At 41.6% G+C, this 15437-nt stretch overlaps 2 protein-coding genes across 31 annotated transcripts in view, besides 7 other annotated features; one reads left to right on the forward strand and one right to left on the reverse strand.

The window, feature by feature from the left end:
- Positions 87-136: a silencer, noted in NCBI's record as "silent region_14724". NCBI's record gives its function as "represses an Ori minimal core promoter by ATAC-STARR-seq in GM12878 lymphoblastoid cells {active_cell/tissue: GM12878}" and the evidence as "EXISTENCE:reporter gene assay evidence [ECO:0000049][PMID:35858748]".
- On the reverse strand, positions 2261-11262 carry MBD4 (methyl-CpG binding domain 4, DNA glycosylase). 7 transcript variants are annotated; one of them, XM_047449153.1, is made up of 8 exons: positions 11044-11262; positions 9034-9264; positions 7775-8622; positions 5376-5450; positions 5164-5298; positions 4412-4561; positions 3870-3920; positions 2261-2892 (listed from the first exon to the last, which is right to left on the reverse strand). In XM_047449153.1, the coding sequence occupies exons 1-8, from the start codon at positions 11145-11147 to the stop codon at positions 2882-2884; spliced, it is 1605 nt and encodes a 534-aa protein (XP_047305109.1). In that variant the 5' UTR covers positions 11148-11262; the 3' UTR covers positions 2261-2881. The 7 variants fall into 7 exon arrangements, with proteins under 7 accessions (XP_047305109.1, NP_001263199.1, NP_001263201.1 ...); NM_001276270.2 differs by having other exon boundaries at positions 3817-3920; NM_001276272.2 differs by having other exon boundaries at positions 7757-8622.
- Positions 11092-11171: an enhancer, noted in NCBI's record as "active region_20512". NCBI's record gives its function as "activates an Ori minimal core promoter by ATAC-STARR-seq in GM12878 lymphoblastoid cells {active_cell/tissue: GM12878}" and the evidence as "EXISTENCE:reporter gene assay evidence [ECO:0000049][PMID:35858748]".
- Positions 11262-11401: an enhancer, noted in NCBI's record as "active region_20513". NCBI's record gives its function as "activates an Ori minimal core promoter by ATAC-STARR-seq in GM12878 lymphoblastoid cells {active_cell/tissue: GM12878}" and the evidence as "EXISTENCE:reporter gene assay evidence [ECO:0000049][PMID:35858748]".
- IFT122 (intraflagellar transport 122) overlaps positions 11538-15437 on the forward strand; it is an 80284-nt gene continuing 76384 nt past the window's right edge. For all 24 annotated transcript variants that reach the window (NM_001280545.2, NM_052985.4, NM_001280541.2 and 21 more), the window contains exon 1: positions 11538-11685. Coding sequence is in view for 21 of the 24 variants with exons in the window: in NM_052985.4 (NP_443711.2) it covers positions 11645-11685 (41 nt within the window). In the remaining 3 variants the exon portion in view is untranslated. The remainder of the gene's footprint in view (positions 11686-15437) is intronic.
- Positions 11602-11811: an enhancer, noted in NCBI's record as "active region_20514". NCBI's record gives its function as "activates an Ori minimal core promoter by ATAC-STARR-seq in GM12878 lymphoblastoid cells {active_cell/tissue: GM12878}" and the evidence as "EXISTENCE:reporter gene assay evidence [ECO:0000049][PMID:35858748]".
- Positions 11962-12011: an enhancer, noted in NCBI's record as "active region_20515". NCBI's record gives its function as "activates an Ori minimal core promoter by ATAC-STARR-seq in GM12878 lymphoblastoid cells {active_cell/tissue: GM12878}" and the evidence as "EXISTENCE:reporter gene assay evidence [ECO:0000049][PMID:35858748]".
- Positions 12042-12091: an enhancer, noted in NCBI's record as "active region_20516". NCBI's record gives its function as "activates an Ori minimal core promoter by ATAC-STARR-seq in GM12878 lymphoblastoid cells {active_cell/tissue: GM12878}" and the evidence as "EXISTENCE:reporter gene assay evidence [ECO:0000049][PMID:35858748]".
- Positions 12492-12541: an enhancer, noted in NCBI's record as "active region_20517". NCBI's record gives its function as "activates an Ori minimal core promoter by ATAC-STARR-seq in GM12878 lymphoblastoid cells {active_cell/tissue: GM12878}" and the evidence as "EXISTENCE:reporter gene assay evidence [ECO:0000049][PMID:35858748]".

Consider the following 15437-nt stretch of genomic DNA (forward strand, 5'->3'; position numbering starts at 1 on the left):
AAGAGCGAGCCCGCCCTGCCGAGCGCCTGCTGGCCCCACCTCGTTTTCGTCCAATTCTGGGAGGGGCAGCGAGCAAATCCACGCCCCGCCCAGTTCTGGGCTTGGTGAAAGGCGGGATTTCTTTGTTCGGCCCAGTAGTCCCTGAATCCAGTGTAGAAAGTCTCCGGTTTTCCCGTGAAATGTGGGATCTTCCGCAGGTCTCCATATCTCTAGGCCTCAGTTTTCTCATAGGAAAAATAGGCCCTGCCTCCTCCAGAGGGTTAGGAAGAACCAAAGTGAGCTGTGGCCAGATAGAGGTGTTGGGTATGTTCTGCCCCGCTTATGGCAGGGTGCCATGGTTTGGAGTTACAGAACCTGAGGACCAGAGAATAATAATAAACCCTTGAAATGTGCATCAACTGATAAGCAAAATGAGGTATATCCATAGGATGGCCATAAGAAGGAATGAAGTACATGCTACAATATGGATAAACCTTCAAAACAGTATGCTAAGCAAGAAGCTAGACACAAAAGGCCACGTGCTGTATGATTCCATTTATGTGAAATGTTCAGCATAGACGAACCCACAGACACGGAAAGTAGATGAATGGTTGCTAGGGGATGGGGTGAGTAATTGAAGTGACTGCTAACAGGTGGAGAGATTCTTTTTGGAGTGGAAAAAAGAAATGGAAACTTCTGGAATTAGTGATGATGGCTGCACACTGTAAATGTACTAAACCACTGAACTGTACACTTTAAAATGGTTAAATGGTGGCTTTTAGCTCAATTTTTAAAAAGTTAAAGAGAAACACCTAAGCCCTTATTCCTTTGCTGAGACAAGCTATCTTTGTGACGCTTGCAAACAGATTGTTGCCATGGGCCACATTCACACAGCACTCTTGCAAGCCAGGTACCATTTTAGCACTACATGTCTGAACTTCATAATTACCATCATTGTGTGAGGTAGACACCACTATCCCATTTTTAAAAGACAAGTTAACAGGTACAGAGGTCAGGCAACCTCACCTGCAAGAAACAGGAAAAGCCAGGCCTAGAGCCTGAGCAACCTGGCTGTGTCCTGAGCTCCCCTGGTGCAGAGCTCGCCTCCTGCATTCACACGGGCCCACACTCCCCATGGAGATGCTGGGGGAAGGTATGTGACCACCAGCCCTACCACAAAGCCACACCTGATGCCCTGAGCTTGGTGAGCTCGCCCCACCCTCCAGGCCCAGCTGGGCCCAAGGTTTCAGAGGCCCCTCTCCACCCTCTTTGGGTGTCTTGTCCCTACTCCTTACCGCTTTTGTTCCCTTCCATTATTAGGTGCCCTTCTTTCTCTCTGTGAGGGTCTGTACAGAACTTGTTTATCTTTGTGCCCCTCCCCACCACAGGGCTTTACACTTTGTGAATGCTACTTGGATGTTTGTTAAATGAAAATGTGATGGTAAACTATAAAGTGGGTTTGCCTTGGGGAGAGGGAGGTGTGGCCAGTTTTCCTGTTCTCTGGTCAAAATCTATCCTTCTAAAAACTGACACTCACTAAAGTGGAAACAACCAACTACCTCTGCATCACACTGCAGCCTGATTCGGTTCACACTGCCCTACAACAAAGGCAGTTTCCTGAACAACTGATTTATTTTTCATTTATTCAATCAATTTAATTTTCAAATTATACCTTAAAATGGTAGTTGGTAATTAAGACATAGTAACTAGTTTTTTCCCTTGGTTTCTTTCTAATAGTAAATGCTTTGGTATTTGAACTGTAACAATACTTGTAATAAAAATGGCATTAAGACTTATTTTTTTTAAGACAGGGTCTTGCTGTGTCATCCAGGCTGAAGTGCAGTGGTGTGATCATAGCTCACTGCAGCCTCAATCTCCTGGGCTCAAGGGATTCTCCCACCTCAGCCTTCTGAGTAGCTGGGACCACAAGTGTATGTCACCATGCCCAATTAATTTTTAAAATTTTTTGTAGAGACGGGGTCTCATTATGTTGCCCAGTCTGGTTTTGAACTCCTGGGCTCAAGCAATCCTCCTGCCTCAGCCTCCCAAAGTGCTAGGATTACAGGTGTAAGCCACTGTGCCTGGCCAAATGGTATAAACTCCAAATGGAAGATGAGAAATGAGTTTTCACAAAGGGACCAAGGTAAAAGAGTGAGTGAGCTGAAATGGAGCAGCAGGCCCATATTCACATTAGGTTATCAAATGGATACTGGGGTGGAATCTACAATTCCTAAGAGCTAGTGTGGAGCTGTCAACAATACACAATGCCAGAGGAATCTTATTTGTCTTTGGGGTCAGCTTTTATTTTTATTTTTTAAATATATATTTTTTGAGACAGGGTCTCTCTCTGTCATCCAGACTGGAGTGCAGTGGCATGATCATGGCTCACTGAAGCCTTGACCTCCTGGGCCCTCATGAGCTCAAATGATCCTCCTGCCTCAGCCTTCCGAGATTACAGGCATGCACCACCACGCCTAGCCGATAAAAATATTTAGTGGGCCCCTAGCTTTAGCAAGGCTGATAGAAATTTGCTTTGTATTATTGATAGTTTAGAACTATTTTTCATCTTCTGATTATATTTCATCATTGGAAAAGCCGTATTTTTTTTGGATTGTTGTCAAATAATAATTTATTTTAAAAAAATCTCAAAACATGTTCAAACACATTCAGTAGCAAAGATCCACCATTGGCACACACATTAAGAAAGCACACACACTAGGCTTCTAGTTGGGCTAATTAAAATCTCTATGGCTGGAAAGGTGGTTGGTTGTACTTAATTAAGCTTTTTTGAAGTGCAAAGCTATGCATAACAGATGAGCTTGAAAGCTGCAGAGTTTAAGATAGACTTAATTTTTCATGATTTTCCCAAAGCCAGTCATGATATTTATTTAATTTGTGGTCTTCAGGGTGCACCTGGAAGAAACATAAGATACAGAGGCAGAGACCTTAATGTAACTTAGTCAGAAATACATTTTTTAAAATTGGCTTTTTAAATGTTTGCTGGGGGACAGTACATTACGATACCATACCTAAAAGTTATAACCTTTAACCTCCTGGGATTCATGAATATTTTAAGTTATACCTTATATTAAGGTAATCTCACACAATTTACAAGGTACTGTCCAAATTACTACTCAACCATGACTTAGAATGTGGGGTGGCGATAACATGAGTCAAGTATTAATACCTCACTTTCCAGAAGGAGGTTCTAGACCGAGAGGTTAAATGGATTCTCAGGTCACAATGGATTGCTCTGATGAAGCTGGGATAGGACCATGGTCCTTCAGTTCAGGCTTGGCCAGACCTACTGGCTGAATGCATGAGGGTGAGTCTCAAGCTGAGTGGGCAGCATACCAGGCCACCCACCAGCTGCCAGGATGACCACCAGCATGCCACAGGCTGGGCATATTCAACAGGGCTGAAGCAGGACCCAGTCACCACAAACGTAGTCTGAGACCACTAAGAGAAACCCAATATGCATACATTGCAGGCCCAAACCTTCCTGCTTTCCTGTAGTGGTGTACTTTTGACAGGAGGAAAACCACGTCAGGCTTAGAGATAGCACACAAATAGGGAATGACAGGAACAGGGCCAGAGGTGACAAACCACTGGAGATGAGTCAGAGGCCACGCCGCTGGACTGGTCTTTGTGGACTTGGGAGCGCCTACTGATCAAAAACCCCAAAACCCACATGCCACCCGCTTCCCCGCAGCCAGGAACACAATTGTTTGTGACTGTAATAGCATTTGTATCCAATAAATAGTCTTAACCATAATGGTGGACTTATTTTGCCTCAGAGACCAAATGTGCTGAATTATGGATGGGAGTGAGCCTCACCTGCTTCCACTCATTGACACAAAAAATTCGGTAAGAGTCGTTGCCATATTTACCAATCCCATGAAGCTCAATTGGATACTTCCACTGCTTTGTCAGGTATTCATCTGAAGAATACAACATCCCACATTATCAGGTCAGCTTCTAAAGACACCCTCCCAAAATGTGTGGTGATGGGGCAGGATGGAGAGAACAGCAGAAAGGGACAGGAAAGGCTCTTTCCCAGCAACCCCAGTTGTGATTACTCTTCCTTCTGAATTCCTGCAGCACCCATATCATTTGCCAATTCCTAACCACTCTTTTGTGCTGTGCTAACAAGACAGAAGTCATGTCCTTGAGGTCAAGAACTGGGCTTTCTGCTTCACTGACTTCTTCCCCTAATTCTGCCCACATGCCTGACCCAGTGCTGGGCAAAGATTTATTGTTTAGGTCAGTGGGAGACTGTGGTTTGGGGAAAGTGGACTTTTTTAAATGCCTTGGGTGCTTGAGCTGAAAAACCTCCATTAATATAGTATCTGAGAACATTAAAGTTTAAGGTGTGGCTCTCTTAAATAAGCACAATGTATTATGTTTTTCCTTTGGGTGTATAGGAAAATACCTGAGAACTTGACAATGGTTTTTGCCCGAAGATCGTAGAGACCAAGAGGTTTAAGAAGTTCTGACACATCTCTCCAGTCTGCGGTTCTTGCTACCTCAGCTGAAGGATACTTCTCCAGAAACTTCCAAAGCACAGGTATTGCCATTTTGCCTGGGAAGTAAAAGTAACTGAATGATTACAAGACTCCAGGTGGGCTGATTTCATGTTCAAGTAGTTTCTCATAGAAATCTCATCCAGAGGGTTTTTTTTTTTAAAGAAAACAAAAAACAAAAAAACACTGGTGAGAAGCCATTATCTGAACCAGCAACCACTTTCAGAATCAAATGCCAAAACTGCTAATATATTGGGCTAATAGTCCAAATTATGCTGAAAACTGGCCTTGCATGATTAGCTTTTAAATGATCAGATCAGCAGATAATGAGAGTAGAAGCATATAGAACACAAGGTACATTCAGTGAAAAAGATACTTTTAAACACACATGAAAGAGGGTGGAGAAACGTTAACTGATTTTCACTGATGATCAAAAAGAATTTGGAAGTATAAAATAAATAAAATCTACCTCTTTATTCTAAAAGGTCTGTTGGATGTCATCCAGTCTCATTTCCTCATAGGTGAAGAGTTTAAGGGTGAAGGGGGAATGCCCTATCCCAGGTGACACACTCAAAATGGACTTTGAACCCAGGCCTCAATTCAGTGCTTTCTCCCTACCACACTGTCTCTACTAAGACAAAGATGATAATAATCCCCAAACCTGAGGTCCGATTGAGAAATATAGTAGCGATGAGAAGCTTCCATGGATCATGAAAAAGTGTTTCTTGAACGAGATTAAAAGGTGACCGAGGAGGTGTCCATTTCTTAAAGGCTTTACGTCGTGGGGGGCTAAGAGCTAAACAAACATAGTGCATCAGAATTGAAAACCCAAAATGGAATTAGAATTTGCTGTTCTGATTGGGAAAGGGATACCTTCTTTGTTATATTTGCTGGAAAAATACAGGCTTGTTTTCCTTCTTTCTATCTGTGTTCGTGGGATGGTATCTTCTGAAAAGGAAAAGTAAACACTTTATGGAGTCTATGGTTTAGCTTAAAGCAATATTGAGGGATGCAAATAATAATATCAACACTATTACAAAGCATGCCAGGCACTATTCTAAGCCCTTTACATAAATACCCAATTAATCTAACTAATGACCCATGAACTTGGTACTATTTTTATCTCCACTTTACAGATAAGGACATTGAGGCACAGAGAAGCTAAGTAACTTGCTCAAGATCACACAGATACTAAGTGTCCCAGCTAAAATTCAAATCCAGACAGTCTGGCTCCTGAGTCCTCACCTTTAACCACTCTGTGACACTAGTTCTTTATGACTTATGTTCAGAGTTTATAGTATTGAAAAATTAAAGGCAGTATGGAATATTTTAAATTACGATGCATTTGTATAATGTGGTCATTAAAGTATTTTTTAGACTATTGTGAATATTTTCCTATTAACTTCTAAATGAAAAAGCAAGAGTCTACATATGATCCCAATTTTATAAAAAAGGGGAAACATATATAAATAACAATACAGAAGTTAAGAATGAAATAAGCCAAAATGATATAATGGTTGTTGCCAAGTGCTAATTTTTCTTTCCTTCTTTACTTTTCTGTATTTTCCAAAATTTCTGCAGTGAACACTTACTTTTACGCTTACCAAAAAAAGGGATACAGACAAAACAGAATCTGCAGAAAAACCTACAATTTGAACCCTAGAACACCTGAGACAACTACCTATTGAGAACCTCTATCTATTGGGAACCAGTGTTATCAGACTTCTCAAATTTCTAAAATCACATGTAATACTCCTTAACCATACCCTCGCAATTTGAATATCAGTTAATAATACCTTGCATTTGTATAGCATCTTTTTCACTTCTCATTTTACAATATTTTTGATGTGAAAAACAGGACTAGTCAGGATGGTTACCTCTATTTTACAGATGAAGAAAGTGAAGCTTCTAAATGAAGCAATCATCCCAAAATGATACTGGGATTGACTATAAACTGGAACAAGTATCCAGGTCTCCAGATAATTAGACTACTGTTTTTTCGCTATTTTAGTTTGAGTAGGTAAAGCCCAGTAGAGAGTAAAAAAAAAAAAGAACAAAGGAAACTGCTCTGACTGCTCTGATTTGACAACTTTTTCTGTGGGCTCCTATGAATAATTACTAGTCTCCTTTATGCCAGGTTTACTTGGCAATTTCTAGCTAAGCCAATGGGTGTCTTCACTATTTCATGGACACCTCGTACTAAGAGTACTTCATCTCATGTTGAGAACTAGACTCTTACCACAAAAAAAAGTTTTTAATATTTGCCCATTTTGCTAGCAATAAATCTACATAAACCTCAAAGCTTTCTTCAAGAAGCTCAGTGTCTAGGACACAGACTTGAAGAATTCTTATGCAGTTCCTAGGTATATATGGCCATCTTGTGTTAAAGGCAGAGAAACTCCAGGCACAGAAAAGACATAAAATCATGGGTAGAACTGGGAACAAGAATCAAACCTAATCTCCTGCTTCACAAATTTCTCCAGGCTGTTTCCCCACAGGAGTTTAAGTAAAATTATTATTCTTTAAAGGAGTTATTCATTATACCATAATGGCATAATGAATAACTAATACAGGGCTGCTCAAAAGGTCTCCCTTTTATCTCTTATTCACTGAGGTATTATAAAGACAAAACTGCTAAGTTCTGAATTCTGTATTAAGAGCATATTACAAATAATAGATGAACTATGTGATTATACTTTTGAATTATTTAGAGCTCTAAAGCATTTTAGAGAAGCATTACATTAAAATAGAAGATAAAAATGACTATGATATATACAAAATTAAATTGGAAGTCACACTTAGTAGTAAGTATCAGGAGGGGTGTGAAGACACCAACTATTCTCCACTCATTTATGTATATAAGAAGCCTTCCCTAAATTTTTCACAAGTGAAGGCTTTTAATTTTCCTTCAAGTTTTAAGATTACTGGCTGGAAAGAGGATGGGAAGAAGGGAAAGCACTGCTGAGGAGGAGAGTCCCAGCTGCTGCACCAGGGAGAGACGATGGCAGCTGTTAATAGTAATACTCTCCTTTGCCATGGCATCACGACAGCAGTCAGCCGATTTTCTCTCTGCCATAGGAAACTGCTTGAATATCAGTTTAAGATAAAGTATTAGGATCAACTGGTATCTCATATTTGGCCCTATTTCTTGGCTCTATTTTCACATCTTAACCATGTATGGGCACGAATACAAGATGCAGCATTATAAATTTCTCATCACATAATGTTTAATAGTGCTTGAAAGCACTGGATACCTTGAAATATTTTCTCACCAGTGAAGTCTTTCCTGGTTGGTGAGCAGTTGTTGTCCATTTCAGAGCCACGTTTTAAAATGTCAGTATGCAAATGTTCTTTCCTTTCCACAACTTCTACTTTTGTTCCGATTTCTTCAGATTCTAAAAAGGTATCCTCATACTTCTCGTTGTGTTCTGAGTCTTTGGCTGAACAAAATTTGTTTATGATGCCAGAAGTTTTTTGTTCAGAACAAAAATTTGATCCTGAACTCAATGATCTTTCTTTTTTTTTTACAAGGCTGTTTTCTTCACTGGTCACACTGAGGGTCTCACCACATGCTCCAGCATCAGAAATGCAGACAGTTCTATCAAGCTGACTTTTTTGTGCAACAGGTTCACTTTCAGCATCTGCTTTATTACACACAGATTCTCTTTTGCTATCACTTTGAACAAAACCTGAACAGCTCTTCCTACATCCTTTTTTAGTTTTCTTAATTGGGATTCCTTTCAAAATAGTCACCTTTCCTTTGGGCTTTCTAACCTTTCTGAAGTTAACATCATCAACACCCTCATCTTCTTTCAAAAGCAAATGAGTGGAAGTAAAGTTAGAGAGTCCTCTGCTCTCCTGCAACTCTGAACTACTACTTGGCGGCATAAACACATCCTTTTTGCACTTGCTTCGGGTCCTGAGGTTCCAGTTTGAATTGTTACTTTGGTTTTGTAGATGGGATGTCAGGGCTGCCATGCTGCAGTCTTTATATCTTGACTTGATACCCCTTTTAGAAAGTACAGTAAAATCAAAATCTTCTGGCTTAAGAGAAGTCTCTCCATTTTTGTGAAGATAATTAGCAAGTGAACTTTTGGATCTGAACTTCAGTCCTTGTGGGCTAGAAAATGATATTAAAGGAAACTTACTGCTAGTAAATAGAAGGGACTTTTAAAAGAACTGGACCACATTTCAGATTTCTAATTAATTTCCAAATGTTGCCATAGGTATCTGTCATTTAAAAATGAAAAAGAGTGATAAATGGCACTTTTAAATGGTTTCCTCTATGACAATATAAATTTATAAATATAACTAAAATGCAACCTACCCGTTAACCATTCACAGAAGGAGGGACAAAATGTATGTAATTTTCCCCAAATCACTTGATGTAATTAATAGCAACATTGAAAGAATAGAATCTGCAATGGTTTTATGGTAAAAATATAAAGAAGCTAAGATTCCTGCTATGCTCCCACTACCTGCCCAGACAAAATCATTTGGCTGTACTATCTTTACCATCTTATATGCTTACCTGATAAAGTACACATCAAATCTTCCTGCTGTCTTCCCAAATAACCTTTGCTTCACAACTCTTTCCCATCCACATGGGACAGACTTACGGCATTCTGTTCCTGCAGTAGCACCAAACTGAGCAGAAGCGATGGGTTCTTGTAGCAAGGGATTACATTCACTGCTTCTTTTTATCATCATTTGTTCCTCATCTTCTCCCACTCTTTCCAATTCCATAGCAACATCTTCTTTGCTGGAAAAACAAAGTCTAAGTGATTAACTTATTTAAAATTTATCTTCCACTGCCTACTCAGTTTTAATCCATGACAATGCAGGAACCACATAGATTATCCATATTAAAATGAGGGAGATTAAAGTCAGTGTGGACCAGTCTTGTGCTATGGGAGTATTTTCCTGTCTTCCAAAAGCTTCCCATATCCTCTAGCACAGGTTAAAAGGTGTTGGAAATCTCTGCACAACAAAAAAGTCAAGCTAGAAACTTTTCGGATTAATCACTGAGTAGGGCTATTATAAAGATTTCTGGGGGCACTTACCATAAATTTGAGAATATGAACCAATAGCTAAGCTCTTAAGCACCAGAAAATGCTTAAATAAATCAGTGAGTTACACTGTCTTCTCTGCAAATAAATGAGGTAAAAGTTTTACATAATGTAAAATTTCTGGGAGAGAGTGTGTATCACTTTCATCAGATGTAATCCTCCAGAAGGTAAATAATTTGATACAGAATTTTTGAATCTTCTTCATTCTTGATCCTCATGGTAACCTTGTAGGTACAATAAGGTTTACTCTCAATTTATTGATAAAATTGAGTGACAGGTTAAATTACTTGCAGAACAGACACGAGAACCCAAGTCTACCAAATCTTGGTCTAATACTTCTCCCCCATACTGTTATTGAAAAAAGCTGGCAAGGCAAGGTGGCTCATTCCTGTAATGCTAGCACTTTGGGAGGAGGAAGTGGGAAGATCACCTGATCCCAAGAGTTTGAGACCAGCCTGGAGAGCACAGTGAGATCCTCGTCTTTGCAAAAAATGAAAAAAAAAACCCAAAAAAACAAAAAAAAACAAGCAACCGGGCGTGGTGGAGCATACCTGTGGTCCCAGCTACTAAGGAGGCCGGGGTAGGAGGACTGCTTAAGTCCGGCAGGTCAAGGCTTCAGGGAGCTATGATTGTGCCACTGCACTCCAGCCTGGGTGACAGAGCGAGACCTCATCTCAAAAAAAAACCCACTAAACTAAAACTTCATTAAAGTTCCAATGTGTCTTCTATGATGAAAACATACTTTTAAAATTAAAAAAAAAATTTCAGTAAAGTGTATCCTAATCACTAAACCACAGATTGTAAAAGGTGGATGGGTCTAGAGAGATCATTTAACCCAAGTTCTTTTCTACAAATAGGGAAACTGCAAGAACTAGAATTAGAATCAAGGTTTTCTGATGTAATTTGGGGTAAAATAATTTTGAGGAGCTGGATGGATCTTATGAAATGATATTGTTTACAATTTTAGAGATAAAAATACTGAAGCCTGGTGGAATCAGCACAAACTCTTAAGAGACTGGGGCTCAAATTCCAGCTCTACCAGCTGTAAGTTTAGCAGCAAGTTACTTAACATCTCAAAGTCTCGGTAAAAGACTCTGTAAAAAGAAGGTGATGCCTCTTTCAAAGTAGTTCTTAGTATTAAATTTTGAAAAAAGTAGGTAAATCTTAACCTCCTATCACACACGTAGTCTAATGACTTCCTAGGATCCTCCAACCCCAAGGGGACCTCTTTCACAAAACCTCCCGGCTCCCCCCCAGTCTCCCTAGTCATCTTAGATGAGGAAGTCGAGCGCACCCCAGGGCTGATCGCACAGGAAGAGCACCTGGGCTCCAGACCCTAGTAACTAAACCCGTGGGCTTCGAGGTTTCTGCCGACCCTCTGTCAAAGGTTAGAAAGGCCCACACACTGTCCACTCTCCCGATACCATTTTACAGGTGGTGAAACTGAGGCCCAAAAGGGGACAGTAACTTACCGGAGGTCATTCGGCGGGTCTGGGACTAGGCGCTCACTAGAGGTGACGGTGGGGGCAGCTCCGCGGTCCCCCAGACTCAGACTCTCCAGCCCAGTCGTGCCCATCGAGCAGGGTCCGGCTGCAGCAACGAGCCCAGCGCCGCAACGCCCAGGGTGTGGGGCGGAGTAAGATGTGAAACCTCTTCAGCTCACGGCACCGGGCTGCAACCGAGGTCTGAATGTTGCGAAAGCGCCCCAGACGCCGCCGCTGCTTTCCGGCCGCCCCCTCGGCTACAGCCGCCATTTCCACGCTCCACCAATCAAATCCATTCTCGAGGAAGACGCACCGCCCCCACACGCCCCGACCAATCGCTCGCGCTCTGGTTGCGCTGGCGCCTTAGGGGCTCCAGTGCCACCATTGCTTTTGCTGCTTTTCTGGCTTTCCCTTTCGGACATGCGCGCTCGGAGCAAGGCGCCCTCGCACTCAGCTTACCGCGCATGTACGTTGCCAGGGGTAACGCAGGTAGCCAAAGTGGCTTGTGGAGTGGCGACCGTTAGTGAGGCGGTTGCTGAGACAGACGCTGAGGCGGGTAGGAGGAGCCCGAGCCGTAAGGGAAGCCGTGATGAGGGCCGTGTTGACGTGGAGAGATAAAGCCGAGCACTGGTGAGGAGCGGGGCGGTTCGCGAAGAGCAGGAGGTCGAGTCCTCGCGGGGAGTGCGCGAGCCGCTGCAGCGTGTTTGAGGGGGGCAGCGGGCTTGCTGCCTGGGCCGAGGGCACTGAACCCCGGCCTGGGAGACTGCAGGGTCGCCCTCCCGCCCCTTGGCGGTTGGAGAAACTCCCGAGGGTTGGAGAGCGGCAAAGGGAGGTGCCGCGCCTGAGGTGGTGGCGGGTGGAGGCGGCTCTTCCCTCACGGTCTGGCCCTGTCGCTGCCTTGGATTCATCTCACACCCACGAGACAGCACGAAGCTGCTCAAGCTTCACAGTTCTTGCCACATCCACATAGTACCCATACTCTTGTTTTCTTGACGTTTTTCTCTAAATTGTCTCATTTATTTTAATTATGATTTCACATTTTACAAGGAAACTTTATTACTCCATTTATGAAAACCAGTGTCACTTGCTCTAAATGTTAAGATAAAATCAGCGTCGCTTGCTCTAAGTGTAAAAGTAAAACTTAAAGTAGGGAGAAACAAAACTGAACAAGCTGTAGCTAGCTATTGTTGCTAGGGAGCCTTTAAACCTGAGATCTCGTTTCTCTAAAACTGGAGATGGGCAGGTATGATCAGAAAGGTGCTCAAAATGAGCACCAAACACAAGCTCTCCTAATTGGGAAGTCTGAAAAAGAACTGAAGGGGAATGACTTTGTCACCTTTTGATTCAGTTATTTAATGTCCTATTCCATTGTTATCGCCTAAATCTATAACATAGCAGTCTGTTTTGTCATATTCTTACTTATGGGATAGGTCTTGGCCTGACTTTGAAAATCATTCAGCATTGTTGTGAAGCCTCTGTTCTGGCCACTGGAGCAGGTTACTTGTCTTTGGTTCTGTCCCTTCTGAGATCTTTCTCTGTGTAAAGCATGCCGTCTCTCCTCATCTCACACGGAAATCCTGAACATCCTTCAAGGCTCACGTTGGAGACGGGTCCTCTCTTTTGTGTTCGGCACTAGTGGTAGCTGACACTATGTGCCAGGTGCTGGCTAAGCACTTCATATCCTTTATCTCGTTGTGTCTTCACCACTCTCTAAGGTAGGTACTATAATTTCCTCTATTTTATGTATGAGGAAACTGAAGCCCAGAGAGGGTGGATAATTTGCCAGCGTCACACAGTGAGGGGTGGAACCAGCTTTCAAGCTCAGGTCTTCCTCACTCCAACGTCAACGCTCTCAGCCACTACATTAATTTTTCCTTATGTTACAGACGTGGCAAACTCAAATGTCTGCAGGAGACAGGCAGGTAACATAAATGGGAGATGTTTATTTGCATCTTCAACACTAGGAATTGTATGTTTTCCCTAGGAATAGTCTTGTATTCTGTACCCCATTTTTCTTGAAACACAGCCGTATCAGTGAATCTTTCATTTGTACTTTTAATAGAGATTTGAGTTTTAAAAAATCATTTTACTTTTAACTTTATTATAAACGTACCTATAGCACAAGCTGATGATAGCTGGCAACTGAACATTTGGCTTCAATGTCAGAGTAATAGAGTGTGGCAAACTGCAGAGCTCATGCTCGGCCTAAAAGGGGCAGCTGCTGCTCAGCTCCTGCCAATTACCACCATGCAGGAATTTGGCCTAGTGTGCTCAGCTCTTCCTGTTTTTACCAGAAGCTAGGAATCTGGGTTTTTATGTGAAATGGCCTAATTTTTAAATGTTAGCATCCACTCTGAAAAAAAAACAAAACACCGTGTGGGCCAAATAAAACATTTGCTGGCCGAATGCAGCCTGATTTGCTCTGTTTTCAACCCCTGGCACAGAATTTTGTTCATTTCTCTCTTGTGGTACTTCCAGAGTCTGTTGAGCATAAGAGTTAATTTTTTAAATCTGTTTAATTCAGAAGTCTAATAAACCCGTTAAAGGCAATGGCTATGTCTTACTCGTTTCCAAATTATTCTAGAGACAGGTCAGTGGTTGTTGTTACTATGGATAGTAATAAAATACTAGATATATATAAAACGAAATACTGTGGGTAGATGTATTCATACGTGAATGAATGATGAATAAAGATTGGTTTTCTGGTTTTTGGCCCATTACAGATTTGAGACAACCTATTAGGATAAGGGATGTAGGGGTTCTATAGACCATCAATCCTGATGGCTGCTAGATATACCAGCTGATAGCCCAGAATGAAAACAAAACAAAAAACTAAACAAAAAAAAAAAAGACAGTAGAACTAAAAAAATCCTAGATGTCAAAGATTAGTCCTCCACATCCAAATCAGCCATTGTCTCCCGGTCTGCTCCTTTGCTTCTATTTTAACCTTCACATAGCAGCAGGAACTCTGTTTTTTTAAGACCTGCTGCTGTGATCCTGTTACTCTACTTCTCATAAACCTAGAGTGATTCCCAATTACTTTCCATGTCAAGTCGTGCATTTTGCTAGAGGGTCCTCCTGACCCTCCTCCCCATCAGGCTTGCAACATTTAAATTTATACTTTTAGGTTGAGCTGAAAACTCTATTTTTCTACCCGAAGATCCTTCCCAAATGCTCCCTTATTCTATGAACTCCCTAGTTTTCTCCTTTAAATGCACAGCTCCAGGTTCATCTCAACCAGGATGTCTTATTAGGCTAGCCCACTGTATTCCAATCAGGCTAGCATCTGCTGTAACTCTCCATTCATGCCAGCTAGTATTTACTGAGTACTTGCTATAGGCCACATGTCCACATGTCTTTATAGGTGTTATCATGTTTAATCTCTACAACATGTGAGGTTGGAATTTTCATCTCATTTAAAGATGAAGAAATTGAGATTTAATGAGGTGACATAAGTTACCTAAGATTACAAAATGAGTAAGTGGGGCTGGGTCAGATGATGCAGGAATTGGAGAGGCACTGTGGGACATTGGTTTACAGTGAGGTGGGTGCAGGGTTGTCAGAGGACAATTTGCAGGATTCCTCTGTATCTCTGCAATGGAATCTGACAGTGTGTCTTCTGACAGTGTATCTCTTTTATAAAAAGAGGCAGGTGGAGAGAGAACCATCCTACAGTAGAATAGACTGCCTGCAAATGAGTGAGCTCCCAGCCCTGGAGTGTTCAAGCAGGGGCTAGATGGCCATCTATAAGGAATTCTTGCCCTGATGGGCCAGATGGACTGCATGACAAGGTCTAGAGTCCTTTCCAATTCTGAGTTTCTGGTGATTTCATAATTATATTTATTACATGTCTAGGACAGTGCCATGCACTGTGGGTCCACAAATATGTAGAACATGGCCATTGCTTTCAAATTGTGTATGACTATAATTAAAGGGGCAAGGCAAGATAATATCTAACACAATGTAAAGAAGACTGTATAAGTCAGAGCTAAACTGAAATGTACAGATTCTAAGTACATTAAGAGTTTAGATTGGGGCAAATCAGACATATATGATATATTTTAGGAAGGCAAATTTCAAGATATTCAGAGAAAATGAATTTTTATATCTAAGAGGAAGAATGTTCAGGCTTGGCTCAAATGAGACATTCAGAAATGATTTTGTGATAATTCAACCCAAAATGACCCTTATGAAGAAGAGGTCACACAGGAATCACTTTGATGAGCTCATATGTGTACAAGGCAGAAAGGAAGCCACATACCAAGGATGACTTTAGATGAGAGGTGCAGACACTGCTCCAACATCTAATAATCCACCATAGCAATCCACAAGTGTCAGGCGCTTTGGATAGACTGGCTTGTGCACCCCGTGAGTAGGAGGCT

The sequence above is a fragment of the Homo sapiens genome, chromosome 3 (genome assembly GCF_000001405.40).
Source record: "Homo sapiens chromosome 3, GRCh38.p14 Primary Assembly".
In the NCBI taxonomy this organism is placed as follows: Eukaryota; Metazoa; Chordata; class Mammalia; order Primates; family Hominidae; genus Homo; species Homo sapiens.